This window comes from Homo sapiens, chromosome 18 (genome assembly GCF_000001405.40).
Source record: "Homo sapiens chromosome 18, GRCh38.p14 Primary Assembly".
NCBI classification, from domain to species: domain Eukaryota; kingdom Metazoa; phylum Chordata; class Mammalia; order Primates; family Hominidae; genus Homo; species Homo sapiens.
Genome location: NC_000018.10, coordinates 37,012,901 through 37,028,391, shown reverse-complemented (window position 1 = coordinate 37,028,391; position 15,491 = coordinate 37,012,901). Strand labels below are relative to the sequence as shown.

Here is a 15,491-nt window from a genome sequence, read left to right as displayed (position 1 = left end):
AGGATACAAATTCAATATAGAATAATCAGTAGCATTTCTGTTCACCAACAACATCCAAGCTGAGGGCCAAATCAAGAATGCAATCCAATCACAAAAACCATACACAAAAAATAAAATATTTTCGAATACAGCTAATCAGGAAGGTAAAAGATCTCTATAAGAATGATAAAACACACAGATGGAGCTAGAGGTCATTACTCTAAATGAATATAATGGAGGAACAGAAAACCAAATACCACATGTTCTCACGTACAAGTAGGAGCTAACATTGAGAACACATGGGCATTTTTTCATGTGTCTGTTGGCTGCATAAATGTCTTCTTTTGAGAAGTGTCTGTTCATATCCTTCACCCACTTTTTGATGGGGTTGTTTTTTTCTTGTAAATTTGTTTGAGTTCTTTGTAGATTCTGGATATTAGCCCTTTGTCAGATGAGTAGATTGCAGAAATTTTCTGTAGGTTGCCTGTTCACTCTGATGGTAGTTTCTTTTGCTGTGCAGAAGCTCTTTAGTTTAATTAGATCCCATTTGTCAATTTTGGCTTTTGTTGCCATTGCTTTTGGTGTTTTAGACATGAAGTCCTTGCCCATGCCTATGTCCTGAATGGTATTGCCTAGGTTTTCTTCTAGGGTTTTTATGGTTTTAGGTCTAACATGTAAGTCTTTAATCCATCTTGAATTAATTTTTGTATAAGGGGTAAGGAAGGGATCCAGTTTCAGCTTTCTACATATGGCTAGCCAGTTTTCCCAGCACCATTGGTTAAATAGGGAATCCTTTCCCCATTTCTTGTTTTTGTCAGGTTTGTCAAAGATCAGATGGCTGTAGATATGTGGTATTATTTCTGAGGGTTCTGTTCTGTTGCATTGGTCTATATTTCTGTTTTGGTACCAGCACCATGCTGTTTTGGTTACTGTAGCCTTGTAGCATAGTTTGAAGTCAGGTAGCGTGATGCTTCCAGCTTTGTTCTTTTGTTTTAGGATTGACTTGGCAATGTGGGCTCTTTTTGGTTCCATATGAACTTTAAAGTAGTTTTTTCCAATTCTGTGAAGAAAGTCATTGGTAGCTTGATGGGGATGGCATTGAATCTATAAATTACCTTGGGCAATATGGCCATTTTCACTATATTGATTCTTCCTATCCATGAGCATGGAATGTTCTTCCATTTGTTTGTGTCGTCTTTTATTTCGTTGACCAGTGGTTTGTAGTTCTCCTTGAAGAGGTCCTTCACGTCCCTTGTAAGTTGGATTCCTAGGTATTTTATTCTCTTTGAAGCAATTGTGAATAGGAGTTCACTCATGATTTGGCTCTCTGTTTGTTATTGGTGTAAAGAATGCTTGTGATTTTTGCACATTGATTTTGTATCCAGAGACTTTGCTAAAGTTGCTTATCAGCTTAAGGAGATTTTGGGCTGAGAAGATGGGGTTTTCTAGATATACAATCATGTCATCTGCAAACAGGGACAATTTGACTGCCTTTTTTCTTAATTGAATACCCTTTATTTCTTTCTCTACCTGATTGCCCTGGCCAGAACTTCCAACACTGTGTTGAATAGGAGTGGTGAGAGAGGGCATCCCTGTCTTGTGCCAGTTTTCAAAGGGAATGCTTCCAGTTTTTACCCATTCAGTATGATATTGGCTGTGGGTTTGTCATAAAAAGCTCTTATGATTTTCAGATACATCCCATCAATACCTAGTTCATTGAGAGGTTTTAGCATGAAGGGCTGTTGAATTTTGTCAAAGGCCTTTTCTGCATCTATTGAGATAATCATGTGGTTTTTGTCTTTGGTTCTATTTATACAATGGATTACATTTATTGATTTGCATATGTTGAACCAGTCTTGCATCCCAGGGATGAAGACCACTTGGTCATGGTGGATAAGCTTTCTGATATGCTGCTGGATTCGGTTTGCCAGTATTTTATTGAGGATTTTTGCATCGATGTTCATCAGGGATATTGGTCTAAAATTCTCTTTTTTTGTTGTGTCTCTGCCAGGCTTTGGTATCAGGATGATGTTGGCCTCATAAAATGAGTTAGGGAGGATTCCTTCTTTTTCTATTGATTGGAATAGTTTCAGAAGGAATGGTACCAGCTCCTCCTTGTACCTCTGGGTAGAATTTGGCTGTGAATCCATCTGGTCCTGGACTTTTTTTGTTGGTAAGCTATTAATTATTGCCTGAATTTCAGAGCCTGTTATTGGTCTATTCAGAGATTCAATTTCTTCCTGGTTTAGTCTTGGGAGGGTGTATGTGTCGAGAAATTTATCCATTTCTTCTAGATTTTCTAGTTTATTTGCATACAGTTGTTTATAGTATCCTCTGATGGCAGTTTGTATTTCTGTGGGATTGGTGGTGATATCCCCTTTTATCATTTTTTATTGCGTCTATTGGATTCTTCTCTTTTCTTCTTTGTTAGTCTTGCTAGCGGTCTATGAATTTTGTTGACTGTTTCAAAAAACCAGCTCCTGGATTCATTGATTTTTTGAAGGGTTTTTTGTGTCTCTATTTCCTTCAGTTCTGCTCTGATCTTAGTTATTTCTTGCCTTCTGCTAGCTTTTGAATGTGTTTGCTCTTGCTTCTCTAGTTCTTTTAATTGCGATGTTAGGGTGTCAATTTTAGATCTTTCCTGCTTTCTCTTGTGGGCATTTAGTGCTATAAATTTCCCTCTACACACTGCTTTGAATATGTCCCAGAGATTCTGGTATGTTTTGTCTTTGTTCTCGTTAATTTCAAAGAACAACTTTATTTCTGCCTTCATTTCGTTATGTACCCAGTAGTCATTCAGGAGCAGGTTGTTCAGTTTCCATGTAGTTGAGCGGTTTTGAGTGAGTTTCTTAATCCTGAGCTCTAGTTTGATTGCACTGTGGTCTGAGAGACAGTTTGTTATAATTTCTGTTCTTTTACATTTGCTGAGGAGTGCTTTACTTCCAACTATGTGGTCAATTTTGGAATAAGTGCAATGTGATGCTGAGAAGAATGCATATTCTGTTGATTTGGGGTGGAGAGTTCTGTATATGTCTATTAGGTTCACTTGGTGCAGAGCTGAGTTCAAGTCCTGGATATCCTTGTTAGCTTTCTGACTCGTTGATCTGTCTAATGTTGACAGTGGGGGGTTAAAGTCTCCCATTATTATTGCGTGGGAGTCTAAGTCTCTTTGTAGGTCTCTGAGGACTTGCTTTATGAATCTGGGTGCTCCTGTATTGGGTGCATATATATTTAGGATAGCTCTTCTTGTTGAATTGATCCCTTCAGAAAAAATGCTCATCATCACTGGCCATCAGAGAAATTCAATCAAAACCACAATGAGATGCCATCTCATACCAGTTAGAATGGTGATCATTAAAAAGTCAGGAAACAACAGGTGCTGGAGAGGATATGGAGAAATAGGAACACTTTTACACTGTTGCTGGGACTGTAAACTTGTTCAACCACTGTGGAAGACAGTGTGGCAATTCCTCAGGGATCTAGAACTAGGAATACCATTTGACCCAGCCATCACATTACTGAGTATATACCCAAAGGATTATAAATCATGCTGCTATAAAGACACATGCACATGTATGTTTTTTGCATCACTATTCACAATAGCAAAGACTTGGAACCAACCGAAATGTCCAACAATGATAGACTGGATTGAGAAAATATGGCACATATACACCATGGAATACTATGCAGCAATAAAAAATGATGAGTTCATGTCCTTTGTAGGTACACAGATGAAGCTGGAAACCATCATTCTCAGCAAACTATCGCAAGGACAGAAAACCAAACACCGCATGTTCTCACTCATAGATGGGAATTGAACAATAAGAACACTTGGACACAGGAAGGGGAACATCACACACCGGGGCTGGTTGTGGGGTGGGGGGAGGGGCAAGGGATAGCATTAGGAGATATACCTAATGTAAATGATGAGTTAATGGGTGCAGCACACCAACCTGGCACATGTATACATATTTAACAAACCTGCACATTGTGCACGTGTGCCCTAGAACTTAAAGTATAATAAATATATATATATAAAATAAAGTAAATAAATAAATAATAAATATATACATAAAAAAAGAGAACACATGGACACAAAGAAAGGAATAACAGGCCAGGCATGGTGGCTCATGCCTGTAATTGCAGCATTTTGGGAGTCCGAGGTAGGAAGACTGCCTGACCCAAGAGTTCATTCGTTCAGGACCAGCCCGATCAACATAGCAGTACCCCATCTCCACAAAAAATTTAAAAAATCAGCAGGGCATGGTGGAATGTGTCTGTCCCAGCTACTGTGGAGGCTGAGGCAGGAGGAGTGCTTGAACCCAGGAGGTTGAGGCTACAGTAAGCCGTGTTCATGCAACTGCACTCCAGCCTGGCATCAGACCAAGACTTTGTCACATACACAAAAAAGAAGGGAATAATAGAAAGAAGGACTTACTTGAGGGTAAAAGACTGGAGGAGAGTGAAGATTGAAAAACTATCTGTTGGATACTATGCTTATTACCTGGGTGACAAAATAATCTGTACACCAAACCCCCATTACATACAATTTACCCATGTAAGAAAACTGTATATGTACCCTTGGAACCTAAAATGTAAGTTGGAAAAACAAATAAATAAATAAATAAATACAGATGATGTTCAACTGTCATGGGGGGACACTGCAGAGATAATGAAGTAATCAGTTGCTTCTTGCCACTCTGCTGCCAAAGTGTCCACATACAATCCTTGTCAGCTGTATGGAAAGTAAACCCAATGGTTGACAGGTCTTCCCAGATGTGAATAAAACAAAAATGAATCTTCTTTCAGAAATGTAATATTTAATAGCTTTGAGGTAGAACTAAGAATGGAAAAAGCTACAATCAAGTTTACTGCCATCTTATGCAGTAAAATGACACTAAAACTCCAAAATAGATTCTAACCGGTCTCTCCCTGTATGAAAAAAATACGAAGATCTTCTACATTTGCAATACAGAAAAGGAGCCTGGGTAACATAGTGAGATCTTCTCTCTTCTAAAATTAAAAAAAAAATTAGTCTGGCTTAGTGGCACATGCCTGCAGTCCCAGCTACTTGGGGGGCTGAGGTGGGAGCATCGCTTGACTCCAGGAATTCAAGGCTGTAGTGAGTCCTGCTCATGCCATAGCACACCAGCCTGGGCAACAGAGCAAGACCCTGTCCCAAATAAATAAATAAAAATAAAATAAAATACAGAAGAAGTCCAAGTGTGGTGGCTCATGCCTGTAATCCCAGCACTTGGGGAGGCCAAGGCAGGAGGATCACTTGAGCCCAGAAAGTTGAAGCTACAGTGAGCCATGATTGTGCCACTGCACTCTAGCCTGGGCCACAGAGTGAGACCCTGTCTCTAAAAAATAAGAAGAGAAAAAATACACATGAGGAGAGTGTGATTGTTTATAAGATGTTAGCAGTGGTATTCAGTGACTGTAGAGTTTACTTATTTACTGTAAGAGACTTGTATAGCAATATACTCAAATTATTTTCCTGAGGGACTAAGGAAACTCTATCCTAAAGCCAACAGAATGTGTGATGGCTTAAATTTTCATAAATATTTTTTCATCTTAATATGATTCTCATCTGTCCATACAACAATTTCTTAACAATTTAATGAGAGCAAAACCGCAGTAGAAGAATGTCTCTAGTTCTTATTTTCAGATTAAATATAAGAAATTGCAGAAGCTATGGGAGTAAATTTGACACTATGATAGGTCTCTAGATTCCTTAAACAGCCATGTAAAATACAATGTATGAAGCAAAAGGAATTATAAATTATTTTTCAGAGTTTTTTATTGGAAGATATATGCAATTTAACACCCAAAGGTCTTCACTTTCCAGGTCATATTATTAAATATCAGCCTTCTGTAAGGGAACTTTGCTGTCACACCAGTTAACAGAACAATGCCCCAGCCTGTTCAGTTTTCCAAAAGGATCATGTAGGTCTCCTAAAACTATAATTCTATACTGAGACTTCAGACACTTTTCCTTTTAAAGCCATAATTCTAAAATTTAAACTGGGAGTATAGTGGGTGATTAGGGTCTAAACCACGGTTCTAATCCTGTTTTCTTATTATATGAGTTTTAAAATATTAAAATCTATACCTTCCTTATCTGAATACTACTCATTTTTCATCCATGAAGAAATTTAACCAGACACTCTATCAGACTAAAAGAGAAATGGACAATTCTTATGTTCCTGAGCGTTAACAGCCGGTCTGCCTTTCTTAAAATCCTCTCCCACTTTAATTTCAATGAGGCACATGCTAAGGTTCCTGCCAGGTCAAGTGCAAAGTAAATTCCTCAATTTGTTTGTTTTATTTTATTTTATTTTATTTTATTTTAATTAATTAATTAATTTATGAGACAGAGTCTCACTCTGTTGCACAGGCAGGAGTGCGGTGGCACGATCTCGGCTCACTGCAAGCTCTGTCTCCTGGGTTCACGTCATTCTCCTGCCTCAGCCTCCTGAGTAGCTGGGACTACAGTCACCCGCCACCATGTCCAGCTAATTTTTTGTATTTTTTTGGTAGAGACGGGGTTCCACTGTGTTAGCCAGGATGGTCTTGATCTCCTGACCTCGTGATCCATCTGCCCCGGCCTCCCAAAGTGCTGGGTATTTTTTTTGGTTTTAAGGAGCAGAAAGTTTAATAGACAAGAAAGAAAAGAGAAAAAAGAAGAAGCTCCCCTGTACAGAGACAGAGGGAGGGGGGTTCCAAAGCCAAGAGAGGAGACCCCAATTCCTCACTTAAAAAAATATCATTTAAGGAACATTCATGTTCTAACTGCTTCATGGTAACTTTCAAGAAACTATTGTAAATACCAAAACAAATGCAAAGAAATCCTAATAAATAATTCATAGAAGCTGTGAAATGCCATATTGAGAGTCAGAATTTGGTTGTTGTGCTAAGGGCATTTTTCCTCTTTAAAAAGAAAAGTTTCTCATACAATAGGTTTCATTATAAGAACATATTGATTGAAACTAGTTTCATTGCCACTAATGTTCTGCTTAATTTTAAAGATAACATAATATCGAACAGAATAATGTGTTCTATTAATAACATTTTATTGAAAAGAATAGGCTGATTTATTGCATTTGTTTGTCCAAATAAGTACACAGATCATATGCTATAAATCTTCTTGAGTCTAACAGAAGGCTGAGATTCAACTTGATAAAAATAAAAAGTTATCATAAAACATAATGAAAAATCCAATTTGAAATTAAACAGTGCACTGCCCAGCTTCATGCTTTGTTTAGGGTCTGAAGCTTGTAATGAAGATGAAAGAGCAGCTCTAGTATAGTTAAAATGGCTATTGTGAGTCTTCATTTGGGGAGTCCTATACAAATAATTAAAATCTGTTAGGGCAAGTCTGGTCATTTAGCTTCTCAGGCAATTCACTCTAATCTCATTAAAGGTACACTTTAAAATGAGGCAGCTTATTTTTTATTTCAAAATACTTTAAAAGTTGAATTTTTATTCTGTGGGGGTAAGAAGGGCAGAAATTAACACAAGACTTGTGTTCACAGACTAAAGTACTTTTCCCTGAAGCTTTAGTTTTGAATGAGCCAACTCAGTCATTCCTACGTGCGTATGTGCAAACAGGAACATGGACATACACAAACTATTTCGAGCAGATGATATCTGAAAGGATGCCATCAGGCCATTCCTTTAAAAGGTGATCCATACACCTTCTGGAAAGCAATGTTTGCATTTCACAGCCAAGAGACAGGATTAAATTCTATTACATATTTGCCACTGATTCTACATAAAATTGATCATTTATCTGTAGCTGATTTCCTTTACAAAGGAAGCTGGTACAGTTCTCTTACATACTGTTTACCATTCTGAAAAATTCCTGTTCGTCTAAATTTATATACAGTATTCTGAATATTAGGAAATCTAACATGCGCTGTAAACTTTCAAGTTAATTTTGCATGAGAGAAGTTATTTAACTATTTTTAAGAAATACTTACGTTTCGGCTGGGCGTGGTGGCTCACGCCTGTAATCCCAGCATTTTGGGAGGCCAACATGGGTGGATAACCTGAGGTCAAGAGTTCAAGACCAGCCTGGCCAACATAGTGAAACCCTGTCTCTACTAAAAATACAAAAATTAGCCAGGCGTGGTGGCATGTGCCTGTAATCTCAGCTACTTGGGAGGCTAAGGCAGGAGGATCGCTCAACGCGGGAGGCAGACATTGCAGTGAGTCGAGATAGCACCATTGCACTCCAGCCTGGGCAACAGGGTGAGACTCTGTCTCCAAAAAAAGAAAAAAAAAAGAAATACCTATGTTTCACCTGCTAGCTGTGTCCAGCAGCCTTAATCACCCCACCCCACCTGTGCAGAGATCTTCGTGCAAAAGGGCCCTCTGCTCCGTGCTGAGGCAGATCTCCACGCATTTGGAGCATCACTCACCTGGACCAGTAGACTGGCCCCCATCCCCCACCCTTCCTGTGTGAACATCCTGGTACAGGAAGACCCTCTCTCCTTCATGCCCAGGCAAATCATCAGACATTTGTTGTACCCACTCATCTGTTTCAGCAGCCTGAGCCACCTTACCTTTCCTGGACATAGGTCATGGTATAGCGAAACCCTCTACACTCCATGCCCAGGCAGATCTCCAGGCATTCAAAGAAACTGCTTGCCTCTTCCAGCAGTCTGAGACACTCCACACCTCCTATGCAGAGATCTTGGTGCATGGGGCCTTCTCTGTTCCACGCCCAGGTGGATAGTCAAGACATCTGGAACACCCACTTGGATTAAGAGTGTAAGTTGCTGCCCATCCCCATGCAGAGAACTTGGAGCCAAGGAGGTTTCACAGTTCAATGCCTAGGCACATCTCTGAGCACATGGTGGCCATCCCCGTAGGCACTGGTGCTTGTGCCTGCCATCAGGGGATCTGTAGGTGTACCTGCCTGGTCCAGATCTGTTGTTCCTGGTTCTTGCCTCCCGGCACCGTGAGGTTGATCAGGGAGCTCACACCACTGTGCATTCCATGAACCAGCTCATTGCCTAAGGCAACAGAGAACTTCTGCCAGTAAACAAGGATCAAGTATACACCCAGTCATATTGGCTGCAGCAAGCTCTGACCTATAAGTGCCATCTATGGGCTCGTAGGATGAACTGCACAGCCAAATATAAAACCTGCCAAAAGAAGTGCACAGGGCTACTGAAGCAAAGCCAAAAGCCAAAAGACCCTACTCAGCATTCTCCACAGTCACACTCGGAGGGGGGTGGGGAGGAGGGGGCAGGAAAAGGTAAAGAAAAAAATAAAACAACAACAATAACACCATAGGAAAAAAGAAAATATCCTGCCTGCACAAAAATAATTACAAAAAATTAGAAGTGCCAGCATCATCAGATGAGAAGGAATCAGAGCATGAATTCTGGCACTATGAAAAATTTGAATGTAATGATACCACAAAAGTACTGAACTAACTCTCCAGCAATGGTCTGTAACCAAAACAGAAACTTAGAAATGGCAGATAAAGAATCCAAAGCATGGCTTGCAAGGAAGGTCGATGAGATTCAAGACAAGGTTAAAAATGAAAACAAAGAAACTTCTAGAGCAATCTAGGAAATGAAAAAAGACATAAAAATCATTAAAAAAAAAATCATTCAGTGCCTCTGGAATTGAAAAACTCACTTAAGGAATTTCAAAATACAAATGAAAGCTTTATCAATAGACTGGACTAAGCAGAAGAAACTGTTTCAGAGATTGAGGACTGATCTTTCTAACTAACCCAGTCTGGCAAAAGTCTGTGAGAACCTTGGGATTATGTAAAGAAACCAAACCTTCCAATTATTAGCATTCCTGAGATAGGATAAAAAGGAAACAATCTGGAAAATATACTTGAGGAAACAGTTCAAAAAAACTTCTTTAATTATGCCAGAAAGGTAGACATGCAGACAAGAAATCCAGAGATCACCTGGAAGATACTATACTAAATAATCACCAAGGTATATAATAGTCAGAAGGTTCAAGGTCAATGCTAAATGAAAAAAATCTTAAAGGCAGCTAGAGAAAAAGAATGAATCACAAAAAAAGGGAACCTCATCAGGCTAACAGTGGGCTTCTTTGCAGAAACCTTACAGGCCAGGAGAGATTGGGAGCCTATTTTCAGCATTCTTAAGGAAAGAAAAAAATTCCAGGGAAGAATATGACATCCCACCAAACTTCAGTTTGTGCGGTAAAGGAGAAATAAAATCTTTTCCAGACAAGCAAGCACTAAGGAAATTCATTACCACTAGACCAGCCTTCCAAGAGAGCCTTACGGGAGTTCTAAGTATGGAAACAAAAAATGATACCTGTGACCACAAAAACACACCTAAGTACATAACCCACGAGACTATAAACCAAAAACACAATAGAAAGTACAAGGCAACCAGCTGAACAACTTCAAGATAGGATCAAAACCTCATATATCAATATTAACCTTGAATATAAATGGTCTAAATGACCCACTTAAAAGGCACAGAGTGACAAAGTTGGAGAAAAATACAAGACCTATACATCTACTGTCTTCAAGAGATCCATCTCACACATAATGATACTGATAGGATCAAAGTAAAGGATTGGAGAAAGATGTACCGCATAAATAGAAAACAAAAAAAGAGAAGGGGTCACTATTCTAATACCTGACAAAACAGAGTTTAAACTAATAATCCTAAAAAAGGACAGAAAGGCATTCTATAACAATAAAGGGTTCAATTAGATAAATCTTAACTATCCTAAGTATAGATATACACAACATTGGAGCACCCAGATTCACAAAAACAAGTACTTCTAAACCTATGAAAAAACTTAAACAGTCACACAATAGTATTGGAGGACTTCAACACCCTAGTGACGGCATAAGACAGATCACTGAGGCAGAAAACTAACAAAGAAATTCTGGACTTAAACTTCACACCTGAACAATTGGATGTAATAAAAATCTATAGAGTACATGACCCATCAACCACAGAATATACATTCTTCTCATCTGCATACAGAACATACTAAAAGATTGACTACATTCTTAACAGTAAAGCAAGTCTCAATAAATTAAAAAAATTGAAATCGTATCAACCATACTTTCAGACCACTGTGGAATGAAAATAGAAATTATTATAATATCAGAAGACCTCTGAAAACCACACAATTACATAGAAATTAAACAACTTGCTCCTGAAGGACTTTTGGGTAAATGACAAAATCAAGGCAGAAATAAAAAAATTCTTTGAAATAAATGAAAAAGGAGACATACCAAAACATCTGAGATACAGCAAAAGCCATGTTAAGAGAAAAGTTTAAAGTCGTAAATGACCTCAAAAAGTTAGGAAGATCTCAAATTAATGATCTAACATCACACCTAGAGGAACTAGAGAAACAAGAGCAAACTAATCCCTAACTGGCAGAAGAAAAGAAGTAACTAAAATCAGAGTGGAACTGAATGAAATTGAGGCCCAAAAATCCATACAAAGAATTGATGAAACCAAACATTGGTTATTTGAAAGGATAAACAAGATTGGTAGAATGTTAGCTAGATTAATAAAGAAAAGAAGAGAGAAGATCCAAGTAAGTACAAACAGAACCAACAAAGGTGACATCACAACCAATACCACAGAAATACAAAAGATCCTCAGACACTACTGTGAACACTTCTTCTCACATAAACTAGAAAATCTAGAGGAAATGGAGAAATTCCTGGAAACACACAATCTCCCAAAATTGAATCAGGAAGAAACTGAAACACTGAACAGAACAATATTGAGTTTTGAAATTGAATCAGTAATAAAAAGCCTACAAACAAACAAACAAAAAGCCCCAGACCAGATGGATTCACAGTTGATTTCTACCAGACATATAAAGAAGAGCTGGTACCAATTCTACTGAAACTGTTTTTACTAAAAATCAAGGAGGAGGGACTTTACAAAGCCAATATCATCCTGATACCAGAATCTGATACAGATACAATGAAAAATAAAAACTACGGGCCAATGTCTCTGATGAAGACAGACATAAAAATCCTGAACAAAATCATAACAAAAGTTAATTCACTATGATCAAGTAGGCTTTGTTCCTGGGATGCAAGGTTGGTTCAACAAATACAATTTAATAACTATGATTTACCACATAAACAGAATTAAAAACAAAAACCATATGATCATCTCGATAGATGCAAAATAGCTTTCAATAAAATCCAACATCACTCCATGATAAAACCCTAAAGTAACTAGGCATTAAAGGAACATTCCTCAAAATAATAAGAGCTATCTAAGACAAAGCTACAACTATCACCATGCTAAACAGGCAAAAACCGGAAGCATTCCCCTTGATAACTGAAACAAAACAAGGATACTCACTCTTACCACTCTTACTCAACATAGTACTGGAAGTGCTAGCCACAGCAATCAGGCAAGAGAAAGAAATAGAAGGCAATCAAATAGGAAAAGAAGTCAAACTCTCTCTCCTCATGGACCATATGATTCTATATCCAGGAAACCCTAAAGACTCCATCAAAAGGCTCCTGGAACTGATAAATGACTTCAGCAAAGTTTTAGGATACAAAATAAGTTTAGAAAAATGAGTAGCATTTCTATACACCAACAATGTTCAAGCTGAGTGCTAAAACAAGAATACAATCACATTTACAATAGCCTCATACACACAAAAAGATACCTAGGAATACATCTAGCCAAGAGGTGAAAAATTTCTACAAGGAGAACTACAAAACACTGCAGAAAGAAATCACAAGTGACACAAACAAATGAAAAAACATTCCATGCTCATGGATTAGAAGAATCAATATAGTTAAAATGGCCATACTGCCCAAAGCAATCTACAGATAGACAGTATTTGTACCAAACTAGTCATGTCATTTTTCACATAATTGGAAAAAAAACTACTCTAAAATCATATGAAACCAAAAAAAGAGCTTGAATAGCCAAAGCAATCCTAAAGAAAAAGAACAAAGTTGGATGCATTACACTACCTGACTTCAAACTATACTACAAGGATATAGTAACCAAAACAGCACGGTACTGGTACAAAAACAGACACGTAGACCAATGGAACAGAATAGAAAACCCAGAAATAAGTCCACACAACAAGAGCCATCTGATCTTTGACAAACTGACAAAAACAAGCAATGGGAAAGACTCCTTGTTCAATTAATGGTGCTGGGATAAGTGACTAGCCATATGGAGAAGAACAAAACTAGATCCCTACCTTTCACAGTATACAAAAATTAACTCTTGGGAGGCTGAGGTGGGTGGATCACGAGGTCAGGAGATTGACACCATCCTGGCCAACATGGTGAAACCCCGACTCTACTAAAAATACTAAAATTAGCTGGGCATGGCAGTGCGTGCCTGTAATCCCTGCTACTCAGGAGGCTGAGGCAGGAGAATCACTTGAACCCGGGAGGCAGAAGTTGCAGTGAGCCGAGATCGTGCCACTGCACTCCAGCCTGGCGACAGAGCTAGACTCTGTCTAAAAAAATAAAATAAAATAAAATATAAACTCAAGATGGATATTTAAATGTAAGACCTCAAACTGTAAGAATCTGATATGGTTTGGATCTGAATTTGATACGGTTTGGGTGTCTCCACCCAAATCTCACATTGAATTGTAATTCCCAGTGTTGGAGGTGGGAGGTGACTGTATTATGGGGATGGATTTCCCCCTTGGTACTGTCCCAAGTTCTCATGAGATTTGGTTGTCTAAAAGTGTGTAGCACCTCCCTTGACCCCTCTCTTCCTCCTGCTCTGGCCATTTAAGATGTGCCTGCTTCCCATTCATCTTCTGCCATGATTGTAAGTTTCCTGAGGCCTCCTCAGAAGCAGGTCCTGCCATGCTTCCTGTACAGCCTGAGGAACTGCAAGCCAACTAAAACTCTTCTTTATAAATTACCCAGTCTCAGGTATTTCTCTACAGCAATGCGAGAACAAACTAATACAGAATCCTAGAAGAAAACCTCAGAAACATCATTTGGGACATGGGCCTTGGGAAAGCATTTATAACTAGGTTCTCAGAAGCAATTTCAACAAAAACAAAAATCAAAAGTTGGATCCAATTAAACTAAAGAACGTCTGCAGAGCAAAAATAATTATCAAAAGAAAGCAGACAATCTACAGAATGGAAGAAAATATTTGCATGCAATGCAACCAACAGAGGTCTAATATCCATAATTTGTAAGGAATTTAATTCAACAAGCAAAAACCAAATGCCATCATAAAAAATGGGCAAAAGACATGAATGGACACTTCTCAAAAGAAGACACACAAGTGGCCAACAAACATAAAAAATTCACATCATCACTAATCATCAGAGAAATGAAAATCAAAACCACAATGAGATACCATCTTACACCAGTCAGAATGACTATTAGTAAAAATGTAAACAAAAAAACAGATGCTGGCGAGGATGCGGAGAAAAGGACTGTTCATACACTGTTGCTGTGAATGTAAATTAGCTCAGCCACTGTAGAAAGCAGTCTGGAGATTTCTCAAGAAACTTAAAACAGAACTGCCATTCAACCAACCAATCCCATTACTGGGTATGTATGCAAAAGAAAATAAATCATTCTACCAAAAAGGCACATGTACTTGCATGTTCATCACAGAGCTATTCATAATAGCAAAGACATGGAATCAACCTAGATGCCTATCAATAGTGAATTAGATAAAGAAAATGTGGTACACGTATACCATGGGATACCTCACAGCCATAAAAAGAATGGAATCATGTCCTTTGCAGAAACATGAATGCAGTTGGAGGCCATTTTCCTAAGTGAATTAATGCAGGAACAGAAAACCAAATACTACATGTTCTCATTTATAAGTGGGAGCTAAATATAAGGCACTCATGGATATGAAGATGGCAACAATAGACACTGGGGAGTACTGTGGGGAGTGAGGGGGATGGGCAAAGTATGAAAAACTGTTAAGTACCATTCTTAGTATCTGGGTGACAGGATCGTTTGTACCCCAAACCTCAGCATCATTTAATATATCCAGATAACAAACTTGCACATGTACCCCATAAAAATAAAAGTTGAAAACAAAAAGCTCTATGTTCTATGTTGATTACCATTTTATATATGAGGAAGTCTATAGATTATTTAATTTTTCAAAGGTCATATAAGTAGTAAATTGTGGCACTAAATATTATACTTAGGTGATCTAACTCCCTAGTTGAGCTCTTGTTCCTAATTCCAAATACTAGTGCCTTGCTACCCTATCCTGTCTCTGAAAGTCCACAGGACTGACCATCCAGGTGCTATTTTAATATGATGAAACTATAATTTATTAACTAACACCAAAATGGCCTTAAGATGTTAATGAAATTTCTAAATATATGTGATTGCCACCCAGGGAGTTACTAACGTCAGCAGAAATAAACAATATAGAGAATTACCTCCCTATTATTTTTACCCCATTTCTTATAATGTTATGAGCCTTTGATATTCCACTGAGTATAAACCCCCATGCTGTCCCAAAAAGGGACATAAACTT

General features: G+C 38.2%; 1 protein-coding gene across 24 annotated transcripts in view; it reads right to left on the bottom strand.

The window, feature by feature from the left end:
- The window catches only part of KIAA1328, a 403,046-nt gene that overhangs the window by 203,781 nt on the left and 183,774 nt on the right, over positions 1-15,491 (bottom strand). Inside the window, exons 7-8 of one of the 24 annotated variants that reach the window (NR_136304.2) lie at positions 8,550-9,002; positions 7,965-8,243 (exon numbers count right to left, since the gene is read on the bottom strand). The exons of 22 other annotated variants lie outside the window; for them this stretch is intronic. The gene's annotated coding sequence lies outside the window, so the exon portion shown is untranslated. The remainder of the gene's footprint in view (positions 1-7,964; positions 8,244-8,549; positions 9,003-15,491) is intronic. One more of the 24 variants, NM_001353920.2, reaches the window with a different exon arrangement.